Source organism: Homo sapiens, chromosome 5 (genome assembly GCF_000001405.40).
Source record: "Homo sapiens chromosome 5, GRCh38.p14 Primary Assembly".
In the NCBI taxonomy this organism is placed as follows: Eukaryota; Metazoa; Chordata; class Mammalia; order Primates; family Hominidae; genus Homo; species Homo sapiens.
This window is the reverse complement of record NC_000005.10, coordinates 51,383,446-51,397,057: the sequence shown is the minus strand read 5'-3', so window position 1 is coordinate 51,397,057 and position 13,612 is coordinate 51,383,446. Positions and strand designations below refer to the sequence as shown.

The 13,612-nt window shown below is 44.1% G+C and overlaps 1 protein-coding gene across 2 annotated transcripts, besides 6 other annotated features; it reads right to left on the bottom strand.

Moving 5' to 3' along the window:
• Positions 1,957–2,672: an enhancer, noted in NCBI's record as "OCT4-NANOG hESC enhancer chr5:50690220-50690935 (GRCh37/hg19 assembly coordinates)". NCBI's record gives its function as "activates a minimal SCP1, AML or CMV promoter by ChIP-STARR-seq in naive and primed H9 embryonic stem cells {active_cell/tissue: H9 hESC(naive and primed)}" and the evidence as "EXISTENCE:reporter gene assay evidence [ECO:0000049][PMID:30033119]".
• On the bottom strand, positions 2,328–13,610 carry ISL1 (ISL LIM homeobox 1). 2 transcript variants are annotated; one of them, NM_002202.3, is made up of 6 exons: positions 13,359–13,610; positions 12,328–12,517; positions 9,309–9,568; positions 7,126–7,412; positions 5,617–5,784; positions 2,328–3,564 (listed from the first exon to the last, which is right to left on the bottom strand). In NM_002202.3, exons 1-6 carry the CDS (start codon positions 13,384–13,386, stop codon positions 3,448–3,450), a joined length of 1,050 nt encoding a protein of 349 aa, NP_002193.2. In that variant the 5' UTR covers positions 13,387–13,610; the 3' UTR covers positions 2,328–3,447. The 2 variants fall into 2 exon arrangements, with proteins under 2 accessions (NP_002193.2, XP_011541682.1); XM_011543380.3 differs by lacking the exons at positions 12,328–12,517; positions 13,359–13,610 and adding an exon at positions 10,432–10,869.
• Positions 3,736–4,267: an enhancer, noted in NCBI's record as "OCT4-NANOG hESC enhancer chr5:50688625-50689156 (GRCh37/hg19 assembly coordinates)". NCBI's record gives its function as "activates a minimal SCP1, AML or CMV promoter by ChIP-STARR-seq in naive H9 embryonic stem cells {active_cell/tissue: H9 hESC(naive)}" and the evidence as "EXISTENCE:reporter gene assay evidence [ECO:0000049][PMID:30033119]".
• Positions 11,373–11,556: an enhancer, noted in NCBI's record as "ISL1-reporter-2del 3". NCBI's record gives the evidence for it as "EXISTENCE:reporter gene assay evidence [ECO:0000049][PMID:23455426]".
• Positions 11,373–11,901: an enhancer, noted in NCBI's record as "ISL1-reporter-2". NCBI's record gives the evidence for it as "EXISTENCE:reporter gene assay evidence [ECO:0000049][PMID:23455426]".
• Positions 11,433–11,488: a protein binding site, noted in NCBI's record as "oligo 3". NCBI's record gives the evidence for it as "EXISTENCE:protein binding evidence [ECO:0000024][PMID:23455426]".
• Positions 11,517–11,571: a protein binding site, noted in NCBI's record as "oligo 1". NCBI's record gives the evidence for it as "EXISTENCE:protein binding evidence [ECO:0000024][PMID:23455426]".

Sequence of the window (13,612 nt, the reverse complement as noted above, 5' to 3'; positions counted from 1 at the left end):
AATTTTAGCTTGCAGAAGCTGGAGGAAATGAGTCATAATGTCCAGAAGGAAGAATTCAGAGTAATAAGGGAGGGACGATTAAAGATAATAACGAACAAGAGGAATTTCATTACAAGAGCAGAGCTCAAAACTCAGTCTCCAGAGGTGTGCAGAGAAAAGTATGCAAGAGATGATTTGCAAACAAAATGACATTTCAGCTACACATTTTAGAGTGCAGGCTGAGGAGTCTAAAAGGGGAAGACACACCTTCGTATAAATAATAAAAGAACTAGAATGCTATTGACCCATCAATCCATTCTCAGCCATCAGGCAACAAATATCTTGAATCTAGCAAGTGAAACCAAATCATTCATCACCCCCTCCCTAAATTATTGTGCTTAAATTCAAGCGATGGACTTCAGAATACTGACATCTATGTATGTAAAACATCAACGCCCCCCACCCAAACATGCAAACATATTCTTAATCTTAGAAATCAATTCATCAATTCGAGGAGGAAAAAGATTCTCAAAGATGGGTGCCTCACTTAAGTCTCTCTATTGCATTCAAATCCTAAATAAAGTGTTTTCCATCTCTAGTCCCTAACATTTTTGAGTCCACCAGAGGCTACGGCTGGGGAAGTGGGTCCAGTGTTTTCCAAGTAAGGAAGGCTTGGACTCTCAGTAACTTTGCAGGCATGACACCAATATTCATGTTGAACCTGCCATCCTTACACATGCATATTAGTTGCCATTTCAGCTATGATGGTGAGGAAAAAGGAAAAAAGAGACCAATAGAAATAGTGAATGGGAAGCTAAAAGAGTAAAGTCCCTTGGCAAGAGATTAGAGGAGGGAGATCCGAGTGAAAAACAAAACAAAACAAAACAAACAAACAACAACAAAAAAACCTTTCCCGGAGAAGATCCGTGTGAGATAAGACATAACTTCTGTTTTTCTCAGCAGAAGACTGCAAGCCATTATTGCCACCAGCCAAATTATTACCCCTCTGTCAAGAATTAGACACAACAATCAAAGTAATCAACGGGCATGTCTAATGCACTGTAACATTTTCAATGCAAAGTTTGTTTTCTCTCTGCCCCCACGTTAGAGCCTGTAATTAACCCGTTATGTAGAACCAAGCCAAACAAAAGCCTAATTGAGGCTGGCTTCCAGACTTGAGGCAGGTTTGCAGAGGGTGAAAGTGACTTGAGAGCTGGGGGGCACAGCCTCCACCTCACCCTATCGAGCCTGGAGGGGTACGCCACATGACACACAATTAGGGTACTTTAGCTTTCATAATAAGAATTGTCAGGTACTGAAAATGGCATTACACTCGCGCATACAAATCAATGCAGTTTCCAGAGTCAAAGCATCATCCTGGGGTGGGGTAAAGGGAGGAGGGGGAACAGGGTGGAGCCCCAAATCCTAATTCAATGCCAGCAAATGAAGAAGCACCAAGAAGCCCGATTTCGGGCAGTGCCATTTATCTTTTCCAGGGTTCTGGCTCTTGCACTTGAACTATTGCTAAATGCCAGGGGAGGAATAGTCTGTCCCAGAGAGCATGCCCGTAACCCTGATAGCTGATGGGTCCAGCAAAGCACATGACCTGCTACCCCATCCCATAAAAGGTGGTTTCCCAACAGTATATATGCCATGTTTCTCTCCATAGCCAGTCATGCTTCCCAAGATTTTTGAAATTGGACTTGGGCAAGGGACGAAGCGGAGGTGGGAGAGGGGAGAAGAGGCAAGAAAATGCATACACCGACTAGTCTGGGAATTGCAGAGCATACTCTCTTCTCTAGGCCTGTTCCTTCTGCACAAATAGAGCAGCATTTCTCAATCGGCTGACAGCCGCCACTGGTAAATAATGGTCATACCTCACTGGCTAGGCAGAAAGTCTCTCTTACCAAGAGCTTATATATTTGACATATGGGTCATTTCAACAATCCCAAGCAGGAGACTTTGGTATAAATCACGTATTCTAAGAAAATAAAATAGTGACTCTGAATCAAAAGCCATTTTAAGCAAGACCCTCTTCCTATTTGGGGTGGGTGGATGGGTGGGGTATGGCAAGAAAGAGACTGGGGGAAGGAAAGAGAGGGGCAGGACAGAGAACAGCATCTCATTTTCACAAAACCAGTAGCATTATCATAGCTGAGAGCTAAGGGGCTTCCAACCAACTTTGATCCAACTACTGAAACCCAAACATGCAAACTCGACCTTAACTACTTGCAATACAATATCACCCCTACTGTGTGTCAGTTTACCCCAATTCACATGCAATCCTTACTTTCAGACATTTGAATAGCTTGTTTGTAAACATAAAAGAGGGACCCTGGATCACTGTGTTTATTTATTTATCTATGCCAAATGTTTATTAGTGAAATAGTCCTGAAGATATAATTCTACATATGGCGCTTTGATTTCACATAATATTTAAGAAAAAGACAAAACACATAGAATTAGACATATAATTCAAAGACCACCGTACAACCTTTATCTTTTTTTTTCACTTCAGCAAACAAAAAATGTCAAATGACATGAAAAGTGGCAAGTCTTCCGACAATAAATAATAAATTACTTTATAATTTTTGCAATGCAAGAGCAAACAAAAAAAGTTTCCTTTTTTTTTTTCCTTTTTATTTCCATAGAGAGAGAAAACAGTCATTTTAACCAATAACTATACACATCTTTGGGGGAAAAGTTCTTGGACAGACACAAGTCAAACACAATCCCGAGACGCTTGTGGCAAAATAGAGGTAACCTTGTTGCAATGCTTTATAAGTTGGTTTTTAAATCTGAATTCAAAAACCTTTATAGTCGCTTCAGACTTCTTGATAAAGGATGGATCTCAAAAAAAGTGGGGAGGGGGCAAAGTAAAAAATAAACCAGCTACAGGACAGGCCAAGAGACCCAGGATTTCAATTAACCCCTTGTTAAAGTCAACTTTAAACATATCAAACCAATGCAGCTCCACCTTCCTGAAAGGACTCTTTCAGCCAAGGAGGCCAGTCTCTCTTCCTGCGCTTTTGCTGGAGCTCCTGTTTGGCAAGGCAATGACCAATATAGAAACAGCACCATTCAGATTAGGATGGACTAGAAAATTTTCTATTTTTGTTTTTCTCTAGATGTGCAGTGAAATGAAAATGCTTTCTTTGAGATCCTTGAATATAAATCCTCTACGTTTTAAAAACGTCTTTTTTTTTCAGTACTTCTAAGATCATTGAATAGCATATACTGGGTTTTGCGTTTTGTTTGTTGTTTAATTCTAGTAAAATCCCATGATTGTCTTCACAGTGTTGCTACCATATCACCTTGTCATTAAAACAGACTTCGTGCATTTCATGGAGCATTCATTTCTTGATTCAGTTTTCATTGACTGGGTCGTTAAATACTTTTGTTTCAGAGTTCGACATTATAATTTCCCACTTTCTCCAACAGGGAAAAAAAATACAGAATGAATGTTCCTCATGCCTCAATAGGACTGGCTACCATGCTGTTAGGTGTATCTGGAAGTTGAGAGGACATTGATGCTACTTCACTGCCAGTGGAATTAGAGCCCGGTCCTCCTTCTGAAAAATTGACCTGCATAGAAGGTTGAGAAATAAATAAAGGACACTGGAATAGTATTCATAAAAAGATTATAAACTCATCATATTGTATATGTAGAAATGTTTGTGTAGATAGATATGTAAAGATATTCACATAGATAACTGAATTTTAACAGGCTTAGAGAAAGCCTAGAGGAGAAAAACTTGGGAAGAAATCCTCTCACTTTCCCATCTTCCAAAAGATCTCTGTTTTAACTGAAACTGAATTCCCAACATTATGTTGCATTAAATTATTTAAGAACAAATGTGTTTCCCACTGTAAAATGGCATCACAACTCTACTATGCATGCTCGAAATAAAATTATCCTGCTGGCTACATGTTGCCCTGGGAGTAGGTGAGCTCTCAGTCTCTAGGCATCAAAGACTCTCTTCTTCAGTTGGAAAATCCGTAACAGGCTCAGATCCTTTGACAGGAGATTGAGAGGAGGCTCCACAGAACAAAGATTAACTCCTCAGCAGGCTCACAGCTTGGGCATTCTTCCTTGTTGGTCCTGCTGCCTCTTGGCCTTTCTCTCTCTCTCTCTTTAAATCAGGCTCTTCCTTCCAAAATGAGACCCATATATTATGACATCATCCCATTCTGACTCCTTCTTTTAACCCTAATATCTGACTCCTTCTTAAATATCTGACTCCTTCTTTTAACCCTAAACGCATTGTACTGCTGTTGTAAACCTTCTCTAACTATGCCCACTCCTGCCTCAGCTTCCCTTCCACTGCTCTCATCTGACACTAAAGTTTCAGAAAGTGCAAACATTTGGCTGCCCTGAAGCCTCCCCTTACCTTCCTCCTGTGATTCAGGATTCGCTCAAATAACTCAACAGATTAATGAGCTTAGAATAATTTTTTTTTCCTAGTTCTAGAGCCTACATTTCTTTCTACAGTAAATTTTTCCAATATGAGATTAAGGGACTTCTAGCCTCTGCACCCACTTAGCATTTGCAAACACAAGCCTGGGGCCAAGCCCTTTTAACCACTTGCCTCTGGCCAATTACCTAACTGTTGACATTGAGAAAGCAAATGCCCTCCAGGTAAATATGAGGGTAAAAAGCTAACCTCAACTAAAGCTTCATTTCCAAAAAAGGGAACAAGGTTTCAGGATAGATCTTTACATTTTATAAAACAAGATTCTATAAGGCTGATTACTCTTTAAGAAAAAAAAATCATCTATATAAATATAGCATATTACAAAGGACATATATTTATTGTTCTTATTTATCTTGACCCCTTAAGCCTTTTGTAGGCAAAAAGTGAATTAATTTTCTCCTCTCTGGATGTGGAAAACATGTTAAGGTTTTCACAGATTAAACACTTTACTTCTGATTGGTAGAGCTCATGTCCCTTTTGCTATACATGGTACACACTGTGTGTCTCTATGACATTTGAACTCATACACTTGAAAACATTTAAACGGTCCTACATTTTAGATTAAGACATTCCCAGCAAGGGATACTGTAACAAAAAGTATTCATCTATTTGAATAATCTTTATTAATATATTTGAAAATTGTACCCAGACACATGCCTGCTGTTTATTGATAACAACACTGATTGTGTATTATAGCATTGATTATATACTACAATCGCCTTGATTTGGGTCCTATATATCCCATTCTCTAGATGCTCAGGAAGGATAAACTTACTAATTGCTGATTGAAATGCCAAGACGATTTCCTGAAGTCCTTGACAACTCTAAAATTCTAAGATGTATGATTCTCCAACACTGTACATCTTCTGGCACATGCTACCTAGAGTTAGGTACCTTGAAATTAATCCTTCAAAGAAGGCCTGATTGATAGAAAATTCAACCTATATGGTCAAATTATGCAGTCTCATTAAAAAAAAAAAGATGCCAAGAGGTTCGTTTTCCCTGCATTTGTCTCCCTTCTCTTCATTACCCACCTCCTTGGTTTCTCCCCAACCCTGAGCCCAAGAAGGCACCCTCCCCACTGAATCTTTCAATGTGTGACAGTTAAACCAGAGTCTCCTGTTGGGAATTCAGCCTCTTCCATCTGGGAGCTGACACTTACCAGTTGCTGAAAAGCAGGCTGATCTATGTCACTCTGCAAGGCGAAGTCGCTCAGTACTTTCCAAGGTGGCTGGTAACTTTGTACTTCCACTGGGTTAGCCTGTAAGCCACCGTCGTGTCTCTCTGGACTGGCAGCCACCATGGGAGTTCCTGTCATCCCCTGGATATTCTGTGAATAGGCCCCCCAACCAATCCCAACATGTTAATGAGCAAATTCCCTCCCTCCGTTGTCTGCACAGGCTAAGCAAATATACCCTGGTATTATCTTATCTATATAGTGGTCTTTATTGACTCAGTTAATCCGCCGTACCTACGGATATTAGTTAGAATTCAATTTGTTTTATTGTTTTGTTTTTCTGCCTCTGTGGGCTGGACTATTAGGTCTGCATGGACCTTATTAAACCAAATTCTACTTTGATTTTCTTCTTCCCCCTTACCTTCACAGCTCAGCCCAATTCCTCCCCTCTGCCTTCTCAGACCATAGCTTCCCAGAACTAAAAAGCTGAGGTAAGCAGGGCTTCCCTTCAGCCTCTAGACAGGGTGGTTTTCTGAGCAGTTTCAGTTAGCTGCAGATTTTTTCCAAGCCGTTCTCCTCAAGGAAGAGCCAGCCCCCCACTCCATCCCCCCAAAGCATTTGGGTCTGGTTCCTATTGTGCTATTATGCACTAACCAACTCAGAAAGTGCCCTGGCCCAATCTTGGCCAGCCTGCCAAGTTTAATGACAGCAGATTTTATGGCATTTAAAAATAGGTCCAAAGCAGTAAAAAAAAAAAAAAAAAAAAAAAAAAAAAAAAAAAAAAGAAAAAGAAAGAAAAGAAAAAAAGGAAGAAAAGAAACTCTAGCTTAACTTCACCAGGAGGCCTGCAGAGTGGGTGCTTCCGTGGGACCAAGATAACAGTGGATACTGGTGCGAGGGGCCTGATGCCTCTGTGGAGGCCTGGGCTTCACCTGGAGCAGAGGGTGATCTGGGCATGCGGGTCACCTTGGGGGAACTCGCCAGCCTGAAGGCGCAGCGGCCGACCTTACTTAGAAGTGCGGTGCGCCCTGGGGGCTCACAGGGTGACCTGCCCACGGAACCCCTGGATGTAGGCAGGAATCCAAGGTATTATCCCTCCCTCTTCTTGTGTACGTGAGGAACTGACGATCTGAATGTTGGCAAAACCCGGGCCAAACCTCGTTGCCGCCTGCCCTCAGAGGGGAGGACGGCGTTTCTCCGGTTCACAGGTACAGGCGAGGTGGAAGGGCATGAGCCCACCCACGAGGTTGGGACCTGGATGCTGCTCCCCCGGCGCACGGAGCCTCCCAGCTTCCCCGCCCTCAGCTGGCGGCCGGCGCCGGGTAGCCTGTCCCCCGGGGCATGGGTAGGGGGGTAAGGATGAGGGGCAGCCCCGGCCAAACTCCTGCCCAGGAGCAGGATTGAAAACCGTGCGATCCTGCGTACCAGGAACGCACCTCGCACGCTGCGTCTCCTTCCCCCTCGCATTCCCTGCCCGGCCCCAGAGCCACTCACAGTTTTGTCATTGGGCTGCTGCTGCTGGAGTTGCTTCATCATGATGCTTCGCTTCTTGTCCTTGCACCGCTTGTTTTGAAACCAGACCCGGATCACACGGGGACTGAGGCCCGTCATCTCTACCAGTTGCTCCTTCATGAGCGCATCTGGCCGCGGGTTTGCGGCGTAGCAGGTCCGCAAGGTGTGCAGCTGCTTCTCGTTCAGCACAGTCCGCACGCGGGTGGTCTTCTCCGGCTGCTTGTGGACGTGGGGCCGCAGGGCTGGCTGCCTGGCGGAGATGGGCTCCGCTGCGGGGCAAGGAGCGCCGTGAGCGCTGGGCTGGAGGCTCGCTTGCCGGCCCGCCCGCGGTCGCGCGCTCGCTCGCTCGCTCGCTTGCCCGCCCGCCCGCCCGCTTACTTGCTCGCCCGCCCGAGATACTCAGGACAATGGCTAGGGTTTGCAGCCTCAGCACACAAAGCAGGGGGCGGCAGAGGTGGGGGCGAAGAGGGTGAAAGGGAGAATAAAATCTTCCTCTCTAATCTGCAGAGGTCTTTGCTGAGTAATCCCGGCCTGAAACGCAGCACTCGCCCCTCCTCGTGTCAACAAAGTGTTAGCCAAGGGAAGCAGGTCTCAAAGTCTGTCCCCCTGTTCACAGCAGGGGTGGCATTTTTCAGCACTGTTTCTCCTCCATTCTCACCTTTCCTTGTGCCCAGACTGGGCCCCAGTTACATTGATTACCACCCTCTCCAGGATCAGAATTTTCTCTTGGGCCAAGGCCACAGAGGGTACCAGGGAAAGGAACGCAGAGCACTTCAGTGACAGCCATAAATACTACACCAGCAGGGACTTCTGCAAGGGGAAGGTCGAGAACTCTGCCAGAACGCCTTGAACTTCAGTCCGAGAGGACAGTCATGTGAAGGGGCTGAAGAGATTCGCTATTTCTGCCATATCTCCAATCCCTGCTCTTAGTATTAAATCTAAGGTAATACATGGATGTTCCTGAGATGGGCTGATCCCAAGCAGTGGAAAACGGAAACTCTGTTGAGCTGCCTAGGCTCTAGATAAACGGTGGCTGGGAGATGTCCCCCGCCTCCCTCTCGGTATTTTAGCTTCCTCTGTGCTTCCCCACAAGCAGAGTGCAGGCTCCACTGAACAGGAGCACCACCCCAGCCGTGCCCCGGTGCAAACTAGTCACAAATCCCCCTGAACAGAATTCTTAGAGCTGCCAGAAGGCAGAAGGGTAAGGGAGGGCTATAGTTTCCTCACCTTCAGTGTTTAGTGGGAATTGATACTTTAAAACTGCAAAGGGGTAGATCTATTCATGGCAGGAAGTCAGGTTTGGAAACACTGTCCACCTTCTAACCCACTGCTTTGGTCCCGGCCAACCTTGCTGTGTTTCCACTCCTCTTCCTTGGGAATGAGTCCTCTTATCTACATGATACAAATCCTGCACCTTCTACAACCCCCTAGGGTCAGGCCAACACCTATGGGGTCAATTTAGAGCTACAACCATGGGCCTGAAGATGAAATTCTCACCAAATCATATAGAATGAATGATTTAAAGAAGCAGGCTCCCTTTAAAAGGCAATTACTGCAGATAAGCTTGTTGACAGTTTTATATTACAACTCTGTGCAATGGCCTGCAGTTTTTAAAACTGTATCTTTTCAGTCCTGTTCTCTCACAGAAAGATAAAAAAATTAAAAAAAAAATTTCGAGTGTGAAGCAACTCACAAGGAAAAAGGATTTGGGAGACTAAATGACTTCAGGCCACCTAAGCTTCCTTCATTGGGTTAAAGGATGAAGCTCCAGGGACCCGGGGCTCCGCCCCTTTAATTAGGCAGCAGGAGAATACCTGGCTGGGAGCTGAAGCCCGTTTTCAGCAAGCCAAGGTTTGGAGGCCAGAGCGAACTGGAAGTAATGTTTGGGCGTGTGTATACACGTGTACACAAGTGGTGTACATTTATGTGTAACCATATAGAGACACACAGACGGTGTAGGTGTGCTCGGGGAATCAAGGGAGACAGTGAGTGCATTGAACCTTGCTGCAAAGGAGCAGAGCACAGCGCAAATTGCATACAGAACACTTCATTTAACTGCAGGCAAACACTACGACCACCCCTGTAGCTACCATAGTTGTTGTGGCCGCTGGCACACAGGCTGGCTTAACCTGGCGCCTGCCTACCCGAGCCGGGCAGAGGAGTACCTGCCATTTGCAGTGGCCGCGCTGGATGCAGGGGACTGAGCGGGTCGCCAGCGCCTAGACTGGCCCTCTCCACCACATCGTGGTCTGCTCGGCAGAAGAGACCGTCCTCCCGAAGCGCAAATTCGTCCCCAGGGATGAGCTGGCGGCTGCAGGCCACACAGCGGAAACACTCGATGTGATACACCTTGGAGCGGGCACGCATCACGAAGTCGTTCTTGCTGAAGCCGATGCTGCACTTGGCGCATTTGATCCCGTACAACCTGTGCGGGGGAGGGGGGAGCGGAGGCGGCCCAGAGCGGGGAGAGAAGTACAGGAAGAGGGGGTCACTTCAGGCCGGCACTTCCCTGGCCCAAGATCCCGGGCAAGACGCCCCAAGTAAACAGCATTTCCAAACAGAAGTTGGAAACAGAAGGACAGAAATGAAACCCTGCTCTCTCCTTCCCTGTCTCTCTTCCTTCCCCCATCTCTCTTTTCCCCTCCCTCCCTCCTCCCTTTCTTTTACTCCCGTTTCCTTTCCGATGAACCTCTGTCTTAGTTGGTAACTCTTAGCTCAAAACACCTAGCTTGTACCACAGAAAATGTATTGATGGGTTCCAAACTCGGGCTGCTGCTCTAGCAATCAATCCCAGTGTTGATCTTGCAGATCTTGGCAGGAAGGAATCCAGAAAGACTCTGGTGGCCACCGACACCAACACTTTCACTTCCCTATCCCACAATTTCTGCTGCTAGAAATGTCTAAAACTGCAACAAAAAGTCCTCCTTCCAAGAAAAAAGGAGGTAGGAGAAGGGGATTGTCACCCCACTCGGTTTGCAAACACTCACAAATAAACAAGCAGAATAACAAAATGAAACCTCTGAGAGTTTCCACATCTCCTTTTGCACAAGTACTTTCCAGTCTTTCTCCAACTAAAGATTTTCTTCAGGCAGCAATGTTAACAGAAAATTTCCTCTCCATTCTTCCTTGTATTATTATTTTTTTAAAAAAATCTGCGTCTGTTCCCTCAATCTTTTTCAAGTTGCTGAATCATCTACCTCATTTCAATTTTCTTGAAAACCATGACCAGAATGAAAAAAATGCAAAGACCCGCTTCTAAGGTCTTTCTCACTCCTGGCCTTTCCTTACCAAGGGACAATCTTTATAGGTTCCATCTAGGCTGCACTTCCCTGGCCCCTTCTCCATCTTTCAGGAATAACAGAAGCTGGGGCATTCCTACGAACAGAAAGAATGGAAGAGAGAGGAAAAGATCCACATAACAGGAGGAGGCATCCTGCTTCTCCAAGGAGAGATGTGGAAATCTAACTGTCCAGTCTGTTCTGCTTTTACAACTACAAGATTACACACACACACACACACACACACACACACACACACAGAGTTGAGAGAGAGTGAAGAGAAGGTAAAAATGATTAGTTCCTTCTACACATGTGTGTATCCAGAATTAGGCACATGCAAGCCTGTGTGCAATTGAGCAAAATACTATTTCCATAGCAGTAAAGATACTCCTGAAGTGGGCTCTCCTTCTCTAGAATCTTGCGTTTACACACCAATCTAGTAAACAATGAAAACGCTCATTTGTCAGAGGTTAGAAGGTGGACTCAAAAGTTTTTCCTCCCTCCGCCTACTCAATGTGAGATCTTCCATTTCATAGGGTGAAGACTTGACTTTGGCGGTGACCAAACAATTTAGAAAATCCCTCCCCCTTCCTGTACCCCGACTTCCCTTACTTCCTTTCACTCCCTCTCCGAAGTATTAACCTCCCCCAACCAGGTTAATTTTATCTACCAAGATTATACTCTCTGTGTCATGATTTTTAAAAAAGAAGAAAAAAATGCTGGATACTAAGTGAGCAGGAGCAAACTGTGACTGTATATTAAATCTTAACTAAACTTTAATAAAAGTTCTCAAGCTCCAGAAACCATTTGCCTAACAAAAGCTAATTAATTACTTGTTAATAGCCACCGGACATTTAAAAAGTGATATTTTGCTATTATTTAACATAATAATGATGCTGATGTCTCTTCTGTTTGTTAATAAAATGAATACAATTTTCTTTAGAGACTACTGGCTTTCTAAGGCAGAAAACAAAGTTTCTGATACATACACACAAGTCAGAGGAAACTTGAGATTAGCAAAACGTGTTGCAGAATAAATTGGAGGAAAAAAAAAACAAAAACTCTCCAAAACAACAAAACCAAACTCAGAAAGTTCCTATGTTGTTTCAGTCTTGTCAATTTGGACAATTCGCTCATTTTATCAGTTACCAGATTTTAATGTGAGAAAGGAAGCTGTTCAATTATCTAAATATACCAATTGTTCGTAGACAGATGATGGGCAATTTGATCTGCTCTAATTCATCAGCTCAGATAAGATAAGAAAGAAGAGACAGTTAGATGTCACCAAAGGGTTAATATTTAAAAAGATTAAGTTTCCGGTGTTTTTTCCAAGGAATATTTAGGTTGGTTTTAAATTTTTCTCAGAAGGAGGTCTTACCCCAAAAATAAAAGGAGCAATACCTGTACTCGCTCTTTCAAAGTACATCTCTAAACATGCTTCGGTCAAACTTTTATTTCACCTATTGCATTGATGCCACCAAAGAATTTGTAAGCTACTAATTTTAAAAAGGACTAAAACAAACAGAACACTGCACTATACAACAAAAATCAACCCTATTTTAAAGCTAAAAATCCAAACTTCTCCATCTTTTTAAAATTTTGTTTTGTAAGGGGGAGGGTGAAAGAGGAAAATAATTTGTGCATCATAAACTCCAAGAGTAATTAAACAAGCCTCAATACCCCGGAATTATGAATACCACTGTTAAGGGTTTTTGTTTTTCTCAACTAAAGAATGAAATGAACAGCATAGCTTGATTTTTTTAACACATGTACAGGGTAACTTTGGCTTGTATGACTACACTGAGGCAAACTTCACAAAAAGACAAAGCCACACCAAATAATACATAAAGAGTGGGGAGATTCAGGGAAATCCCACAAAATTAAGAAAGAAGTGTAAATGCCATACCTGATATAATCTCTTTTACAGTAGGTTTTCCCATCCCTAACAAAGCATGTACAGCTCTCGTCCAAATACTGATTACACTCCGCACATTTCAAACATGCCGCATGCCATTCCAAATCCGGAGAAACCCTCAGAATATACTGATCGTGAATCTGATTGCCGCAACCAACACATAGGGAAATCAGACGTTTTTCTGAAATGAAAATAAATACATGATTGACTAACCGTTTACTTCCTACAGAGATAAACACACTTTTAGTGTCGTTCTCTTATAGGGCGTACTCTGGGAGGTTTTTTTCTTTCTTTCTTTCTTTCTTTTTTTTTTTTTTTAGAGCATTGCACTTTGGGATGGTAATTGAAATGTGCCATCAAAACCTTGACTCATTTTTAAAAGGAGGTGGAATATATGTAAAATGCAGATTGGAATAGTCTACATTTGTACGCCTAGCACGCAATCAAACCCGCTCATTTTGTATTTCTCCCCCCCCCCTTCCTCTTTGCTATAATCATTGGGAAAGATTATGGATAAGTCAAGTCAAAGAAAAGGTTTTGACTAGAAGCGTTAAGTGAACGCAGGGATGTCTATATTTTCCGTGAAGCGCGCTCTTAAATAGCACACAGGACTGGATATTGTTAGCAAGAGCAGGCATAAATACAGTTGTCACTCGTTCTCTTTTGCAAGTCTAATGCTAATTCACATCTCTGGGCATTGACTGTGCAGGCAGACCTTTGCAACATAATAACCTTCTCGGAGAGCTCAGGATTCCCCAGGAGGAAATCACCGCTTAGCACCAGAAAGCTAGAGCTTTGGAGGGCACACAGGCGAATTCACACACAAGGTACAATCAGTTTCCCGAAGATAAGAACCGACAGTAAGCATGCAGGCGTGGCGGCAACAAGAAAAAGCCACCTTTTCTCTTTCTCCAGGCAATGACTCCAACTCCAAAGAGCCCTTGGCACCTCAGCCTGTGCCTGAGAGAGAACCCCGCACAAGAACAGCACACCGAGCCCCACAAGGTAAAATAGCCTCTTACTTTTTGGTGGATCTCCCATGTCTCCCATATCTGTAAGAGGGAGTAATGTCCACAGTGAAATGGTGGTTGTACAGTTGGTGAACAGCCCACAGAGAGGATGCTGGAGCTGTGGCTAAGTGGGAAATATTGGCCCCTGGGGTTGCCAATGCTGAAAGAGCCGCTGCTCGGCTGCGCCGCGCCCTCGCGGATCTAGGAGTCCAATTTAAGCCGGCGGAGTTGGCGGAGCGGAGGCGCTGCGGCGGCGGCAGACTCGG

Excerpts from the sequence above, each read along its gene's own strand:
- ISL1 (NM_002202.3), bottom strand. The coding sequence starts at position 13,386 with ATGGGAGACATGGGAGATCCACCAAAAA. Across the intron at positions 9,569-12,327 it reads TGTAAAAGAGATTATATCAG|GTTGTACGGGATCAAATGCG; the intron begins GTATGGCATTTA and ends TCCCCCGCACAG. Across the intron at positions 5,785-7,125 it reads AGCAGCCCAATGACAAAACT|AATATCCAGGGGATGACAGG; the intron begins GTGAGTGGCTCT and ends GCCTATTCACAG.